This window comes from Homo sapiens, chromosome 13 (genome assembly GCF_000001405.40).
Source record: "Homo sapiens chromosome 13, GRCh38.p14 Primary Assembly".
Taxonomy (NCBI): domain Eukaryota; kingdom Metazoa; phylum Chordata; class Mammalia; order Primates; family Hominidae; genus Homo; species Homo sapiens.
In genome coordinates, this window is record NC_000013.11 from 113,105,556 (window position 1) to 113,121,580 (window position 16,025).

The following is a 16,025-nucleotide window of genomic DNA, read 5'->3' on the forward strand; positions in this document are numbered from 1 at the left end:
GCCACACACACCTTAACACCTGCACGCTGGCAACAAAACCGTCCGCTCTGCAGCACAGCTGGGGTCACCTGACCTTTCTCCTGTCCCCCCCACTTGAGCTCAGTGGCTGGGCAGCAGGGGATGCATGGCCACTGGCCGGCCAGGTGCAGCTCTCAGCTGGGGTGTTCAGAGGACGCCTGTGTCCTCCCCTCCCCCATCCCTCTGTCACCCTTGGAGGCAGAGAACTTTGCCCGTCAGTCCCATGGGGAATGTCAACAGGCAGGGGCAGCACTGCAGAGATTTCATCATGGTCTCCCAGGCCCTCAGGCTCCTCTGCCTTCTGCTTGGGCTTCAGGGCTGCCTGGCTGCAGGTGCGTCCGGGGAGGTTTTCTCCATAAACTTGGTGGAAGGGCAGTGGGCAAATCCAGGAGCCAGCCCGGGCTTCCCAAACCCCGCCCTTGCTCCGGACACCCCCATCCACCAGGAGGGTTTTCTGGCGGCTCCTGTTCAATTTCTTTCCTTCTAGAAACCAGCATCCAGGCACAGGAGGGGAGGCCCTTCTTGGTGGCCCAGGCTTTGGCGGGATTATTTTTCAAAGAACTTTAGGAGTGGGTGGTGCTTTCCTGGCCCCCATGGGCCCCTGCCTGTGAGGTCGGACAAGCGCAGGGAGTCTGGGGCCTCTCAGAGTGCAGGAAGTGCGCACAGGGTGCTCCCAGGCTGGGGAGCACAGGTAGGGGACGGTGCGTGGGGGATGGCGCCTGGGGCATGGGGGATGGGGTGTGGGAAACGGCATGTGGGGCGTAGGGGATGGGGTGTGGAGGATCGGGGGTGGGGATGGCGTGTGGGGTGTGGGGGATGGGCCGTGGGGGGGTGGGGCCTGGGAAACAGCATGTGGGGCATGGGGTGTGGGGGTGAGGTGTGGGAAAGTGTGTGGGGTGTGGGGGATGGGGCATGGAAAGGGCGTGTGGGGTGCAGGGGATGGGGCATGGAGGTGTGGGGGATGGGGTGTGTGGGGTGTCGGGGATGGGGCATGTGGGGTGTGGGGGATGGGGCATGGAAAGGGCGTGTGGGGTGCAGAGGATGGGGCATGGGGGGGTGGGGATGGCGAGTGGGGCTGGGGCCTGGGAATGGTGAGTGGGGCATGGGGATGGCGAGTAGGGGGTGTGGCGTGAGGATGGCTAGTGGGGCGTGGGGATGGCGTGTGGGGATGGCGAGTGGGGGGTGGGCTGTGAGGGACAGTGCCTGGGATGTGGGGCTGCAGCCCTAGCTCACAGCATGGCCTTATGACCCCGGCCACCTTCCTGCCCCAGGCGGGGTCGCTAAGGCCTCAGGAGGAGAAACACGGGACATGCCGTGGAAGCCGGGGCCTCACAGAGGTGAGCAGGGACTGCCACTGGTTTTGTCCTGGGGCCCAGTGGGGGCCAACATCACCTCCTTCCCCTCCCATGGCAAAGAGCCAGCCCGCGGGGTGGCTACTGCAGTGCCCCCCAAGGAGGGTGTTCCCTGCTCGAGAGGAAGTGACCGCTCCAGCTTGGCCTTCCCTGGGACTGGGGTGCAGGCGATTTTATCTTCTTTGCTCCATTCTGTTCCTTCCAGATAATCGTGTGTTCTTCATCAGGTTTTCCTCAGTTCTTGAGAGCTTTTCTGATGCAAATCTGCTTTCACCCCAGGGCGGTCACCGGCTCTGCTCACACCAGCCTCCAAGGGTGTGGGTGTCCCGGGAGTGTGGGTGTCCCGGGGGCGTGGGTGTCCCAGGAGTGTGGGTGTCCCGGGGGCGTGGGTGTCCCGGGAGTGTGGGTGTCCCGGGGGCGTGGGTGTCCCGGGAGTGTGGGTGTCCCGGAGGCGAGGGTGTCCCGGGAGTGTGGGTGTCCCGGGGGAGTGGGTGTCCCGGGAGTGTGGGTGTCCCGGAGGCGAGGGTGTCCCGGGAGTGTGGGTGTCCCGGGGGCGTGGGTGTCCCGGGAGTGTGGGTGTCCCGGGGGAGTGGGTGTCCCGGGAGTGTGGGTGTCCCGGAGGCGAGGGTGTCCCGGGAGTGTGGGTGTCCCGGGGGAGTGGGTGTCCCGGGAGTGTGGGTGTCCCGGAGGCGAGGGTGTCCCGGGAGTGTGGGTGTCCCGGGGGCGTGGGTGTCCCGGGAGCGTGGGTGTCCCGGGGGCGTGGGTGTCCCGGGAGTGTGGGTGTCCCGGGGGCGTGGGTGTCCCGGGAGTGTGGGTGTCCCGGGGGCGTGGGTGTCCCGGGAGTGTGGGTGTCCCGGGAGTGTGGGTGTTCCGGAGGCGAGGGTGTCCCGGGAGTGTGCGTGTCCCGGGGGCGTGGGTGTCCCGGGGGCGTGGGTGTCCCGGGGGCGTGGGTGTTCCGGAGGCGAGGGTATCCCAGAAGTGTGAGTGTCCCAGGGGCGTGGGTGTCCCGGGGGTGTGGGTGTCCCGGGGGCGTGGGTGTCCCGGGAGTGTGGGTGTTCCGGAGGTGAGGGTGTCCCGGGAGTGTGGGTGTTCCGGAGGCGAGGGTGTCCCGGGAGTGTGGGTGTCCCGGGGGCGTGGGTGTCCCGGGAGTGTGGGTGTTCCGGAGGTGAGGGTGTCCCGGGAGTGTGGGTGTTCCGGAGGCGAGGGTGTCCCGGGAGTGTGGGTGTCCCAGGGGCGTGGGTGTCCCGGGAGTGTGGGTGTTCCGGAGGCGAGGGTGTCCCGGGAGTGTGGGTGTTCCGGAGGCGAGGGTGTCCCGGGAGTGTGGGTGTCCCGGGGGCGTGGGTGTCCCGGGGGTTGTGGGTGTCCCGGGAGTGTGGGTGTTCCGGAGGCGAGGGTGTCCCGGGAGTGTGGGTGTTCCGGAGGCGAGGGTGTCCCGGGAGTGTGGGTGTCCCGGGGGTGTGGGTGTCCCGGGGGTGTGGGTGTCCCGGGAGTGTGGGTGTCCCGGGGGAGTGGGTGTCCCGGGAGTGTGGGTGTTCCGGAGGCGAGGGTGTCCCAGGAGCGTGGGTGTCCCGGAGGCGAGGGTGTCCCGGGAGCGTGGGTGTCCCGGGGGCGTGGGTGTCCCGGGAGTGTGGGTGTCCCGGGGGAGTGGGTGTCCCGGGAGTGTGGGTGTCCCGGAGGCGAGGGTGTCCCAGGAGTGTGGGTGTCCCGGGGGCGTGGGTGTCCCGGGAGTGTGGGTGTTCCAGAGGCGAGGGTATCCCAGAAGTGTGAGTGTCCCGGGGGTGTGGGTGTCCCGGGGGTCGTGGGTGTCCCGGGAGTGTGGGTGTTCCAGAGGCGAGGGTGTCCCGGGAGTGTGGGTGTCCCAGGGGTGTGGGTGTCCCGGGGGCGTGGGTGTCCCGGGAGTGTGGGTGTCCCGGGGGAGTGGGTGTCCCGGGAGTGTGGGTGTTCCGGAGGCGAGGGTGTCCCGGGAGTGTGGGTGTTCCGGAGGCGAGGGTGTCCCGGGAGCGTGGGTGTCCCGGGGGCGTGGGTGTCCCGGGAGCGTGGGTGTCCCAGGGGTGTGGGTGTCCCGGGGGCGTGGGTGTCCCGGGAGTGTGGGTGTCCCGGGGGAGTGGATGTCCCGGGAGTGTGGGTGTTCCGGAGGCGAGGGTGTCCCGGGAGTGTGGGTGTTCCGGAGGCGAGGGTGTCCCGGGAGTGTGGGTGTCCCGGGGGCGTGGGTGTCCCGGGAGTGTGGGTGTCCCGGGGGCGTGGGTATCCCAGAAGTGTGAGTGTCCCAGGGGCGTGGGTGTCCGGGGGGCGTGGGTGTCCCGGGGGTGTGGGTGTCCCGGGGGTCGTGGGTGTCCCGGGAGCGTGGGTGTCGGGGACTGCAGGGACATGGGCCTCCCCTCCCACTCCTGCCGCCCAGGGCACCTCCTGTGAGGACTCGGAGTCCGTGAGTTCCCACCTCCTTGAGCCCGATTCTTTGGTGTCCCCGCCTGCATCCTCAGCCTCCTTCCAAACCAGACCAGTTCTCTAGGGGCGTCGACGTGTGAAACTGATTTTAAAGAAAACAGGCAGTGGCCTTTCTCTCGGCCCCACGTGGCCCAGTAGCGCTCACCTTCCGTCCCTTCTTCCGCGCTCAGTAACCAATTTAGGCCGCTCCTGCAGAACTCGGGCTCCTGCCCACCGGCCCACAGCGTCCACCTGAGGCCTCGTCCTCCCAGCAAAGGTCGTCCCTCCGGAACGCGCCTCCTGCGGCCTCTCCAGAGCCCCTCCCGCGCGTCCTCTCAGCCCCGCTCGCCTCCTCCCGGGGCCTCCCTCTCCCGCCTGCCCCCAGGCCCGTCTCCCCTCGCGGGCTGAGGCAGGTTCGGGCAGCACGGCCGCCCCGGGGCGGGGGTCACTCTCCACCACCGCGTGGTGCCCACAGCTCACGGCGCTCCCGGGTGACGGTCCCCTCGGCTGTAGGGCGTCCTGAAGAGCGGCCTGCTCGGAGCTGAGCGCACGGGGTTGCCTCGCCCTGGGCGTCTCTGGCCCTCACCAGCCCCGTCTTCCCATGGGCAAAACGGCGGTCCTGTTTGTCCACAAGTAACCGTCGGGGTTACGGAGGGGCCAGGAGCTGCGGCGGGGGGCTGTGCTCTCAGGACCGGCCCCAGGAGGATCCGCGCGAGGTCTGGAGCTCTCAGGGGTCGCGGGGGACAGAGGGGCCCCAAGCGGAGGCGGGGAAGGCGGCAGAAGCCCAGGACCGCCAAGAGCTGGCGAGGAAGCCCGGGGCTCGCTGTCGGGGGAGCCGGGCAGGGGCCGCGCCTCGGACCAGGACGGAGGCCTGGGGAAGGCGGATCTGGCCGCCGGAGACGCGGTGCGGGTGGAGACGAGGGATTTGGATTTCCGCGGGCGGCTGTACGGATTTCCACGCGCGGTTCACGTGGGCCCCAGGGGGTTGCCCGGCACCCGGGGCCGCGCCGCCTTCTCCTCGCCGGCATCGACCCGCAGCCTCACGTTTACGCGGCGGCGCCCGCAGCCCCCTTCGGCCCGGCTTCCGCGCGTGCCCCCGAGCGCGCCCTCGGGATCAGCCCCCGGAAGCAGAGAGGCCAGGCCGGGAAGGATGGGCGACGGGGGTGGCTGACCCGGGAGCACGGCAGGGAGGACACCCAGCCAGGCCCGCGAGCAGCGCCGCTCCCCTCCTCCAGGACGGGCGGGAACCTGCGATGCCCCCGCCGCGTGGGCCGTGGGGCGGTCTCCGAGGCACTGGGCGGGGCACGCGGTGGGCGCTTCACGGAACTCGCATTTCCCAGTCTTCGTAACCCAGGAGGAAGCCCACGGCGTCCTGCACCGGCGCCGGCGCGCCAACGCGTTCCTGGAGGAGCTGCGGCCGGGCTCCCTGGAGAGGGAGTGCAAGGAGGAGCAGTGCTCCTTCGAGGAGGCCCGGGAGATCTTCAAGGACGCGGAGAGGACGGTGAGCCCAGCCTCGGGGCGCCCCGCGCCGCGGACACTGCAGGCGGCGGTGAACCAGGCCGCGTGGGGCCGCCTGCGTCTCTTTGGCTGCGGCTGTGGGCGGCGAACACGCAGCGGCGCCCGCGCGGCGCTTTCTGCGGGGGTCGCTTTCCGCCCGGGGTGACTCCGCTTTCCTGGGCGATGCCCCCCACCCCCAGGCACGCGCTCTCCCCGTGCGGCCGCACCGCGCATGCCGGTTTTCACATCAGAAAATACGATTTGCAAAGCACACTTAGGGTGTCCCCCTTAACTTCCCAAGGGAGTCCCCCCAGTCCCCGAAGGGTCCAGGGCAGCCTGCGCATCGCAGACGCGCGCGGCTCGCAGAAGGGACGTGGTGAGAAGCTGGCCCACAGCATGCCACCAGCGGCACCTCCTCAGGGCACGTGTCGGGGAGAAACAACACTTAGGGACCTGGGACTTTCTCCAGCTCACGCTCACGGGTCACCTCACACTCCAAGATCACCTCAAAGAGGACACCTCACACAGGGCACACTTCACACTCACAGGTCACCTCACACTCACAGGACACCTCACACTCACAGGGCACACTTCACACTCACGGGTCACCTCACACTCCAAGATCACCTCAAAGAGGACACCTCACACAGGGCACACTTCACACTCACAGGTCACCTCACACTCACAGGACACCTCACACTCACAGGGCACACTTCACACTCACGGGTCACCTCACACTCCAAGATCACCTCAAAGAGGACACCTCACACAGGGCACACTTCACACTCACGGGTCACCTCACACTCACAGGACACCTCACACAAGACACCTCACACGGGGCACACTTCACACTCACAGGTCACCTCACACCCACAGGACACCTCACACAGGGCACACTTCACACTCACGGGTCACCTCACACTCACAGGACACCTCACACAAGACACCTCACACGGGGCACACTTCACACTCACAGGTCACCTCACACCCACAGGACACCTCACACAGGGCACACTTCACACTCACGGGTCACCTCACACTCACAGGACACCTCACACTCAGGGCGCACTTCACACTCACGGGTCACCTCACACCCACAGGACACCTCACAGAGGTCACCTCACACAGGACACCTCACACTCAGGGTGCACTTCAAACCCACAGGTCATTTCACCTCACACTCACAGGACACCTCACACAAGATACCACACGGGGCACACTTCACACTCACAGGTCACCTCACACTCACAGGACACCTCACAGAGGTCACCTCACACGGGGCACACTTCACACTCACAGGTCACCTCACACCCACAGGACACCTCACAGAGGTCACCTCACACCCACAGGACACCTCACACAGGACACCTCACAGAGGTCACCTCACACCCACAGGACACCTCACACTCATAGGTCACCTCAGTCTTACAGGACAACTCACACTCACAGGTCACCTTACTCTCACAGGACACCTCACACTCACAGGTCACCTTACTCTCACAGGACACCTCACTCTCACAGGACACCTCACACAGGGCACACTTCACTCCCACAGGTCACCATACCTCACACAGATCACCTCATACTCACAGATCACTTCATTCTCACAGGATACCTCACACTCAGGGCACACTTCACACTCACAGGTCACACCTCACACAGATCATCTCATTCTCACAGGACACCTCCCTCTCACAGGTCACCTCACACTCACAGGACACCTCACAGAGGTCACCTCACACCCACAGGACACCTCACAGAGGTCACCTCACACGGGGCACACTTCACACTCAGGTCACCTCACACCCACAGGACACCTCACAGAGGTCACCTCACACCCACAGGACAACTCACAGAGGTCACCTCACACAGGACACCTCACAAAGGTCACCTCACACCCACAGGACACCTCACACTCATAGGTCACCTCAGTCTTACAGGACAACTCACACTCACAGGTCACCTTACTCTCACAGGACACCTCACACTCACAGGTCACCTTACTCTCACAGGACACCTCACACAGGGCACACTTCACTCCCACAGGTCACCATACCTCACACAGATCACCTCATACTCACAGATCACTTCATTCTCACAGGATACCTCACACTCAGGGCACACTTCACACTCACAGGTCACACCTCACACAGATCATCTCATTCTCACAGGACACCTCCCTCTCACAGGTCACCTTACACTCATCTCACACTCACAGGTCGCCACACCTCACACTCACAGGATGCCTCACACTCACAGAACCACATCTCATATGCACAAGACACCTCACACTCAGGACACCTCATGCTCAAAGAAGCCTCACACTCACAGGAGGTCCAGCTGTCTGAGGCAAAGGCTAACATGACCCTTTCCAGACAAATTGAGGATGGTCATGCCTAGCATTTTTATACACCTAGTTTTGAAAGCATTTCTCATCTGTTGTATTCTCACAGCACCCCGTGAGTTTAAGTTCAGGTGGCCAACAGTTTCTTCAGCAATCACTTTTTTCTGTGGAGTGCTTTTGCTGTTTGTGGAATATTTTGCATCTGCTACTGCACCCTCTCCCCGTATGTGTGGCCACCCTGTCAGAGGTGGAGCTGTGGCTCAGAGCCTGTGTACCTCGTCCCAGGTCCACAGCTCAGCGACAGAAGAGTCAGGGTTGAACCTCGGGTGTTCTGACTTGGGAGCAGGAAATGTGTGGTCACCCATAGTTCCAGATGTCCTGGGGAGGGGCCAAGATTAGAAGAAACCTACCTCAGCTCCAGAGGAAAGTCTGGCTTCCTGAGCCCACCCCGCCAGACCCAGGTCCAAGTCCCCCAACCCCAGTTCATGGTGTGTCCAGTGCTTACCGTTGGGTGCTCTGGTGAAGGTGCATCTCACGAGGCTTGCTCTCTTGTTCCTTCAGAAGCTGTTCTGGATTTCTTACAGTGGTGAGTGGATGATCACCACCAGTCCTGCCTGCAACCCTTCTCAGCTTACTGACACCAGCCCACTCCACAGATGGGGACCAGTGTGCCTCAAGTCCATGCCAGAATGGGGGCTCCTGCAAGGACCAGCTCCAGTCCTATATCTGCTTCTGCCTCCCTGCCTTCGAGGGCCGGAACTGTGAGACGCGTAAGGCCCCACTTTGGGTCCCATATTTGCAGAGGGCCCTGGGGAGCTGGTGGAGGTGGCCTGGCCAACCGGGCTGCAGGGTGCACAACCTGGTGGGGTGTGTAGGCCGGGCATTCAGGGCTCAGCCCCAGTTGGAAATTGGTCTAGGTGACCTTGAAATCCCTTCCAGTCTGAGGTCTTTGACAGGGACCCAAGGTTCTGATTATCAGACTCAGTGGCCCCTTGGGCTCCCGGCCCTGGGCAATTCTCAGCCCTCGAGATGGCCCAGCTGAGAGTCCCTGTGTCCCTGTCCCACTTCCACATCCCACCACGCAGGACCGCTTGGTAAACTTCCCCTTCTCTACTTTCCATTACAAAGGTTTGAGGGGTTTGTTTTTTTTTTAACCATCTGAATATTAAATTATCACAAAGTTTGAGGCCCCCAACCTCCCTTGGGTTCAGTAATTCACTAGAAGGACTCATAGAATCCACTGAAGTGGATACACTCACAGGTACCGTTTATTACAGCAAAGGATGCAGGCTTAAGTCTGCAGAGGGACCAGGCACAAGCTTCCCCTTGTCCTCTCCCTGTGGGGTCATGTGGACAGTCCTTAATTCTCCCAGAATGACGTGTGACGAGACGTGGGAAGTACTGCCAACTTGGGAAGCTCTACGAGCCCCGGTGTCCAGAGGTTTTATCAGGGCTCAATCACATAGACCCAGCTGACCACCCGCATGGCTGACCTCAGTCTCAGCCCCTCCAGAGGCTACGCCGATAGTGCGGCCCAAGGCCCCACCATACATCACATTGTCAGCTAGACCATCCAGCATGGCTCAAGGCCCAGGTAAACACCAACATTCCCTCAGGCAAGACCTTCCAAGGGCTTAGCGGTCATTTCCCAGGAGCCAAGGCAAAGGCTACCCTTTCTCTGGCACAGCAGTTCATCCTTGACCACCCAAGACCACATTCTTACACTGAATGAGCTCTCCTGTGCAGCAGCCATTTTCTTCTCTAAGCAGAAGAGAGCCCAGCAAGCTGGAGGAGGCTGAAGAGAGAGGCTTCCTGCTGGTCATCTGGGTCCAGAATGCCTGGAGATCTCTGCTCAGCCCTGGTGCCCAGCAGCCCTGGTGTGCATCCTGCAGGGCAGGCCTTCCCGCCGGAGTCCTGGACTTGCTCAGGGCCACTCCCCTTGCCCATGTCAACCAAAGTCAGGCTGCCGGTTCTGCTTCTTCTGTCTGAGCCCATGACCAGTGCTGGGACTAACTGTCCCCAGGCGGGCTCACGGTGGTACGAGGCCAGCTTGGAGAACTGTCTCAGCTCTCTGGTCCTCTCGTCAGTTGGGTCTCTGATTGGAAAGTCCCTTGGACACTTTTACCATCCCCATTGGACTTTCACTTTCCCCCAGGCTCCCATCAGCTGCTCGGAAGAGTGGTCACCCTGGAGGCCACTGCCCACCAGCCAGGCACCCCCCAAATGCAACCGCAGCCAGCACTGCCAGCCACTGGCAAGGCTGTTCAGACATGTGGCTCCTCTGATCCACGCCTTGTCCTTTGGATCAGTCCACGGAGCAGGTGGTGCCAAGCTCAGGCTCTGTCACCCACAGCTCAGTGCCACCTTCCAGGCAGAACACCACTGCTGACCCAGGGCATGGCCACCCCGGGGGCTGGCTCTCGCTGACCCCCAGAAGCCCCTCTCAGGGTGTCCCCTTCCTGTCCCCAGACAAGGATGACCAGCTGATCTGTGTGAACGAGAACGGCGGCTGTGAGCAGTACTGCAGTGACCACACGGGCACCAAGCGCTCCTGTCGGTGCCACGAGGGGTACTCTCTGCTGGCAGACGGGGTGTCCTGCACACCCACAGGTGACCAGGCTTCATGTCCCAGTCCCAGATGACACCAGTCCCTGTCCCACTACGGATTATCTTACTGGACAAAAGACGGGTGGGAGTGGCTTCACATCTACTGAGCACTAACTATGCACTGACCAATTGTGAGGTGGGATCTGGGCACCAAGGGTGGCACAGGCCAGAGCGACAGTGACTAGGATGGGCACCCTGGGGGCAATCCCTGAATGGCCTCAGGCCCCCTGCCAATTCTAGGCAGACCAGGGGAGCCAAGCAAGGCACTATCTCACGTCCAACTCCCACTCGCAGGACCTCCGCCAGGGTTCATGAATCTACTTCGGCACAGCCAATGTCTGTACTGACTGCTGCCCACTCTGCATTCCAAAACTCGTAAAGGCTCCTGGGAAAATGGGATGTTTCTCCAAACCAGCCTGGAACGAATGGGCTGCACTTCCAAAAGCAGGGACACCCCACACCCACTGTGTCTCAAAGAGGCGGACGTGCCCACCCTGGCCACACAGCCTGGGACTCAGCCTGCCACCTCCTCGGGCTTCCTTTCTGGCCCAAGACCTTGATTGAAGCAGATCAAAACTAAGCATGGGATCAAAACAACACAGTTTGATTCATCTTTAGGTAGAATTTCATTCACCTTCTACTAAAGTCAAACAACACATCTTCTCCCTGAAAAGTGAGCAGAGGGCGGTTTTAAGACGTAAGCCCTCTGTTTCCTCCAAAACCAGCCCTGACCATTGTCTCCTCAGCCAGCCACTTCTTCAAGGGCCTCTCATGGCCGGGCCCCACCAGTCAGGCCCAGCCGAGGCCCTGCCTTCCACCACCCCTGGGCCCTGGGAGCTCCTGCTCCTGGGGGCCTCCCATAGCCTCGGCCTCAAGGCCTCTCAGAGGATGGGTGTTTCTGAATCTTTCCTAGTGGCACGTTCATCCCTCACAAATCTCTGCATCTTTCTGACTTTTGTTTTACACAGTTGAATATCCATGTGGAAAAATACCTATTCTAGAAAAAAGAAATGCCAGCAAACCCCAAGGCCGAATTGTGGGGGGCAAGGTGTGCCCCAAAGGGGAGTGTCCATGGCAGGTAAGGCTTCCCCTGGCTTCAGGATTCCAAGCCCTGAGGGTCTTGAAGCCTTTTGAATGTGAACAACAGCTCTGGAAGGGAAAATGGGCAGGTCAGCCCCAAGCCCACCAGGCTCCAAGTCAGCACACCTAGCACCTCCAGCTCGCGGCACCCCCATGCTTTTAGTGGGGCAAGGAAGGAGAAAAGAAAACGACACTCACTGAGGGTCTACCCTGTGCAGAGAACCCTGCGAGATGCCCCATCCGAGTTGTCACGTCGTCCTCACGGTTACTCTTTGAGGTGGGATCTTTGCCTGATCTTTGCAAAATCAGGAGCATTGGATCAAAGCTATGTGAAGATCCTGTGAGGTGAACAGTGAAATCTCACAGCGACATTTGTATTCTTGGGCCGTGCCCAAGAGCACGTCTCGGCTAGAGAGGGGCACAGCCTCCCAGAGCCAGGTCTGAGCAGCTTTGCCTGGGAGGGATCTGCAAAGACCCCAGGATTTCAGAAAGAAATTGTGCAATGCCAGAGGTTCCTTGGCATGCCCGGGAGGGCGAGTCATCAGAGAAACAATGACAGCAATGTGACTTCCACACCTCCTGTCCCCCCGCCCAGGTCCTGTTGTTGGTGAATGGAGCTCAGTTGTGTGGGGGGACCCTGATCAACACCATCTGGGTGGTCTCCGCGGCCCACTGTTTCGACAAAATCAAGAACTGGAGGAACCTGATCGCGGTGCTGGGTGGGTACCACTCTCCCCTGTCCGACCGCGGTGCTGGGTGGGTGCCACTCTTCCCTGTCCGACCGCGGTGCTGGGTGGGTGCCACTCTCCCCTGTCCGACCGCGGTGCTGGGTGGGTGCCACTCTCCCCTGTCCGACCGCGGTGCTGGGTGGGTGCCACTCTCCGCTGTCCGACCGCGGTGCTGGGTGGGTACCACTCTCCCCTGTCTGACCGCAGCTCTCAAGTGTCTCAGGGGCTGTGGCTCTGGGCTTCGTGCTGTCACTTCCACAGACAGACAGACATCCCCAAAAGGGGAGCAACCATGCTGGGCACGACTGCTGTGGCCACCGTGCTCTCAGCCACTTTCCCATGCCCAAATAAAACGATAAAAGACTGGGGGCTTCTGCCCATCCTGCCTCACTTGACCAAGAGCCCAGAAGAGGATGCGACACCCAGGGCCTCATGGGACCACCGGCTGGCAGGGGTTCTGCTCACTGGGTTTATGGGTGAGACGAGCACTCCCAGGAGGGCCACTGGGCCGGGAAGAACTGTGGAGAATCGGGGCACGCCCTGTCCTCCCAGCTGCCAGGGCACAGCATCCCTTCCCCACCTCAACACCCAGACCCCAGATTCACCCCAGTTCACTTGTCCCCACACGAGCCACAGGCTGCCACCTGGGGCAGGCTGGCCCCACCTTGGGGTTAGATGCAGGTCCCCTTGCCCCAGAAGGAGACTGCAGCCCCTGCAGACCTAGAAATGGCCACAGCCCATCCCCATGCACCAGGGGGTGAGGTGGCAGGTGGTGGAAAGGGCCTGAGGGGGGCTTCTTCCTTCCAGGCGAGCACGACCTCAGCGAGCACGACGGGGATGAGCAGAGCCGGCGGGTGGCGCAGGTCATCATCCCCAGCACGTACGTCCCGGGCACCACCAACCACGACATCGCGCTGCTCCGCCTGCACCAGCCCGTGGTCCTCACTGACCATGTGGTGCCCCTCTGCCTGCCCGAACGGACGTTCTCTGAGAGGACGCTGGCCTTCGTGCGCTTCTCATTGGTCAGCGGCTGGGGCCAGCTGCTGGACCGTGGCGCCACGGCCCTGGAGCTCATGGTCCTCAACGTGCCCCGGCTGATGACCCAGGACTGCCTGCAGCAGTCACGGAAGGTGGGAGACTCCCCAAATATCACGGAGTACATGTTCTGTGCCGGCTACTCGGATGGCAGCAAGGACTCCTGCAAGGGGGACAGTGGAGGCCCACATGCCACCCACTACCGGGGCACGTGGTACCTGACGGGCATCGTCAGCTGGGGCCAGGGCTGCGCAACCGTGGGCCACTTTGGGGTGTACACCAGGGTCTCCCAGTACATCGAGTGGCTGCAAAAGCTCATGCGCTCAGAGCCACGCCCAGGAGTCCTCCTGCGAGCCCCATTTCCCTAGCCCAGCAGCCCTGGCCTGTGGAGAGAAAGCCAAGGCTGCGTCGAACTGTCCTGGCACCAAATCCCATATATTCTTCTGCAGTTAATGGGGTAGAGGAGGGCATGGGAGGGAGGGAGAGGTGGGGAGGGAGACAGAGACAGAAACAGAGAGAGACAGAGACAGAGAGAGACTGAGGGAGAGACTCTGAGGACATGGAGAGAGACTCAAAGAGACTCCAAGATTCAAAGAGACTAATAGAGACACAGAGATGGAATAGAAAAGATGAGAGGCAGAGGCAGACAGGCGCTGGACAGAGGGGCAGGGGAGTGCCAAGGTTGTCCTGGAGGCAGACAGCCCAGCTGAGCCTCCTTACCTCCCTTCAGCCAAGCCCACCTGCACGTGATCTGCTGGCCTCAGGCTGCTGCTCTGCCTTCATTGCTGGAGACAGTAGAGGCATGAACACACATGGATGCACACACACACACGCCAATGCACACACACAGAGATATGCACACACACGGATGCACACACAGATGGTCACACAGAGATACGCAAACACACCGATGCACACGCACATAGAGATATGCACACACAGATGCACACACAGATATACACATGGATGCACGCACATGCCAATGCACGCACACATCAGTGCACACGGATGCACAGAGATATGCACACACCGATGTGCGCACACACAGATATGCACACACATGGATGAGCACACACACACCAATGCGCACACACACCGATGTACACACACAGATGCACACACAGATGCACACACACCGATGCTGACTCCATGTGTGCTGTCCTCTGAAGGCGGTTGTTTAGCTCTCACTTTTCTGGTTCTTATCCATTATCATCTTCACTTCAGACAATTCAGAAGCATCACCATGCATGGTGGCGAATGCCCCCAAACTCTCCCCCAAATGTATTTCTCCCTTCGCTGGGTGCCGGGCTGCACAGACTATTCCCCACCTGCTTCCCAGCTTCACAATAAACGGCTGCGTCTCCTCCGCACACCTGTGGTGCCTGCCACCCACTGGGTTGCCCATGATTCATTTTTGGAGCCCCCGGTGCTCATCCTCTGAGATGCTCTTTTCTTTCACAATTTTCAACATCACTGAAATGAACCCTCACATGGAAGCTATTTTTTAAAAACAAAAGCTGTTTGATAGATGTTTGAGGCTGTAGCTCCCAGGATCCTGTGGAATTGGATGTTCTCTCCCTGCCACAGCCCTTGTCAATGATATTTCACAGAGACCCTGGGAGCACCTGCTCAAGAGTCAGGGACACACGCATCACTAAATGCAAGTTCCCAGGCCCTGGCTGCAGTGGGAGGACCTGGCAAGCTGCACTCTTGCTGAGTCCCCAGGGTGGTGGAAGAAGAATGAGAAACACATGAACAGAGAAATGGGGAGGTGACAAACAGTGCCCCCACTCAGACTCCGGCAAGCACGGCTCAGAGAGTGGACTCGATGCCATCCCTGCAGGGCCGTCCTGGGCACCACTGGCACTCACAGCAGCAAGGTGGGCACCATTGGCACTCACAGCAGCAAGGCAGGCACCAGCAACCCACCTCGGGGGCACTCAGGCATCATCTACTTCAGAGCAGACAGGGTCTATGAACTACAGCCGTGGGCTGCTTCCAAGGCACCCTGCTCTTGTAAATAAAGTTTTATGGGAACACACCCATATTAGTGTCCATGGAGTGGCCGTGGCAGAGACGTCCAGCCGGACAGACCAGCTGACCCGCCAAGCCCAGCATGGTTAGTGTCAGGACCTCTGCTGAAGATGCTTGCTGACCCTGGCCAGACCCCGGTTCCTAATGCCCCCTAAACGGGACGGGAGCCAGTGGCGGGCCCTGATCCAGGTCAGAGCTGGCTCTGCTTTCTCTTTTGTCCGAGTGACCATGCCTCAGTTTCCTCATGTGTAAAACAGGAGCCCACCGTGATGCTTATGGTGGGATGAGATCAGCATGGATGGAACAAGGCCCTGGAAGGGCCCATGCCATGGTCATCGACAGCAAAGCCACTCTGCAGACAGATGCTTCAGTGAATTGGTAGAAAATTCTGCAACCAGAATGCCCGGGGCTCCTGAGGGCCTAAGCCCAGCCCAGGGTTCTGGAAGCCACTCTGACTTCTTGGGAGTGGAAGTTGGCAGGACTCTTCCTGGGAAGAAGCGGAGGGTGGGGATGAGAGGACAGTTCAGGAGCCCACCCAGACCCACAGGAGGAAACTAGGGGAGTCATGCGGGGTCCTGGTGGAGCGCCAGCCTCCCTTCCTGCCAATGGGAAATGCAGGCGCCCACCTCATGGTGCTGCCGGAGGAGGGGGCCCGGGACTCCCCAGAGGCTTCGCTGAAGGGCCTGGGCGCCCCCAAAGGCTACATGTTTCATATGGGACGTGCCACCTGCCACGGCTCAGCTCCAGCTTTCTGTGAGTGGCGAGATAGAATACGGGGAGGCCACTGGCCATGGGCCTGGGACAGGGTGGGATGAGGCGGCAGGCTTGGGCCACCAAAGCCAGCATCGCCACCCAGCATTGATGACAAAGACTGCGTGTCTGCCATGAGCATCCTGCTGTTGGTGC

The 16,025-nt window shown here is 61.3% G+C and overlaps 1 protein-coding gene across 9 annotated transcripts; it reads left to right on the top strand.

Moving 5' to 3' along the window:
- On the top strand, nt 236-15,130 carry F7 (coagulation factor VII). 9 transcript variants are annotated; one of them, NM_000131.5, is made up of 9 exons: nt 236-350; nt 1,290-1,355; nt 5,135-5,295; nt 8,197-8,221; nt 8,292-8,405; nt 10,105-10,245; nt 11,211-11,320; nt 11,918-12,041; nt 12,858-15,130. In NM_000131.5, exons 1-9 carry the CDS (start codon nt 287-289, stop codon nt 13,451-13,453), a joined length of 1,401 nt encoding a protein of 466 aa, NP_000122.1. In that variant the 5' UTR covers nt 236-286; the 3' UTR covers nt 13,454-15,130. The 9 variants fall into 9 exon arrangements, 8 of the variants coding, with proteins under 8 accessions (NP_000122.1, XP_011535776.2, NP_062562.1 ...); XM_011537474.3 differs by lacking the exon at nt 1,290-1,355 and adding an exon at nt 9,405-9,512; NM_019616.4 differs by lacking the exon at nt 1,290-1,355.

Coding starts and splice junctions, on each gene's coding strand:
- F7 (XM_011537474.3), top strand. CDS start 242: ATGGGGAATGTCAACAGGCAGGGGCAGCACTGCAGAGATTTCATCATG. Junction 8,406..9,404: donor GGGCCGGAACTGTGAGACGC/GTAAGGCCCCAC, acceptor TTCTCTAAGCAG/AAGAGAGCCCAGCAAGCTGG. Junction 10,246..11,210: donor GGTGTCCTGCACACCCACAG/GTGACCAGGCTT, acceptor TGTTTTACACAG/TTGAATATCCATGTGGAAAA.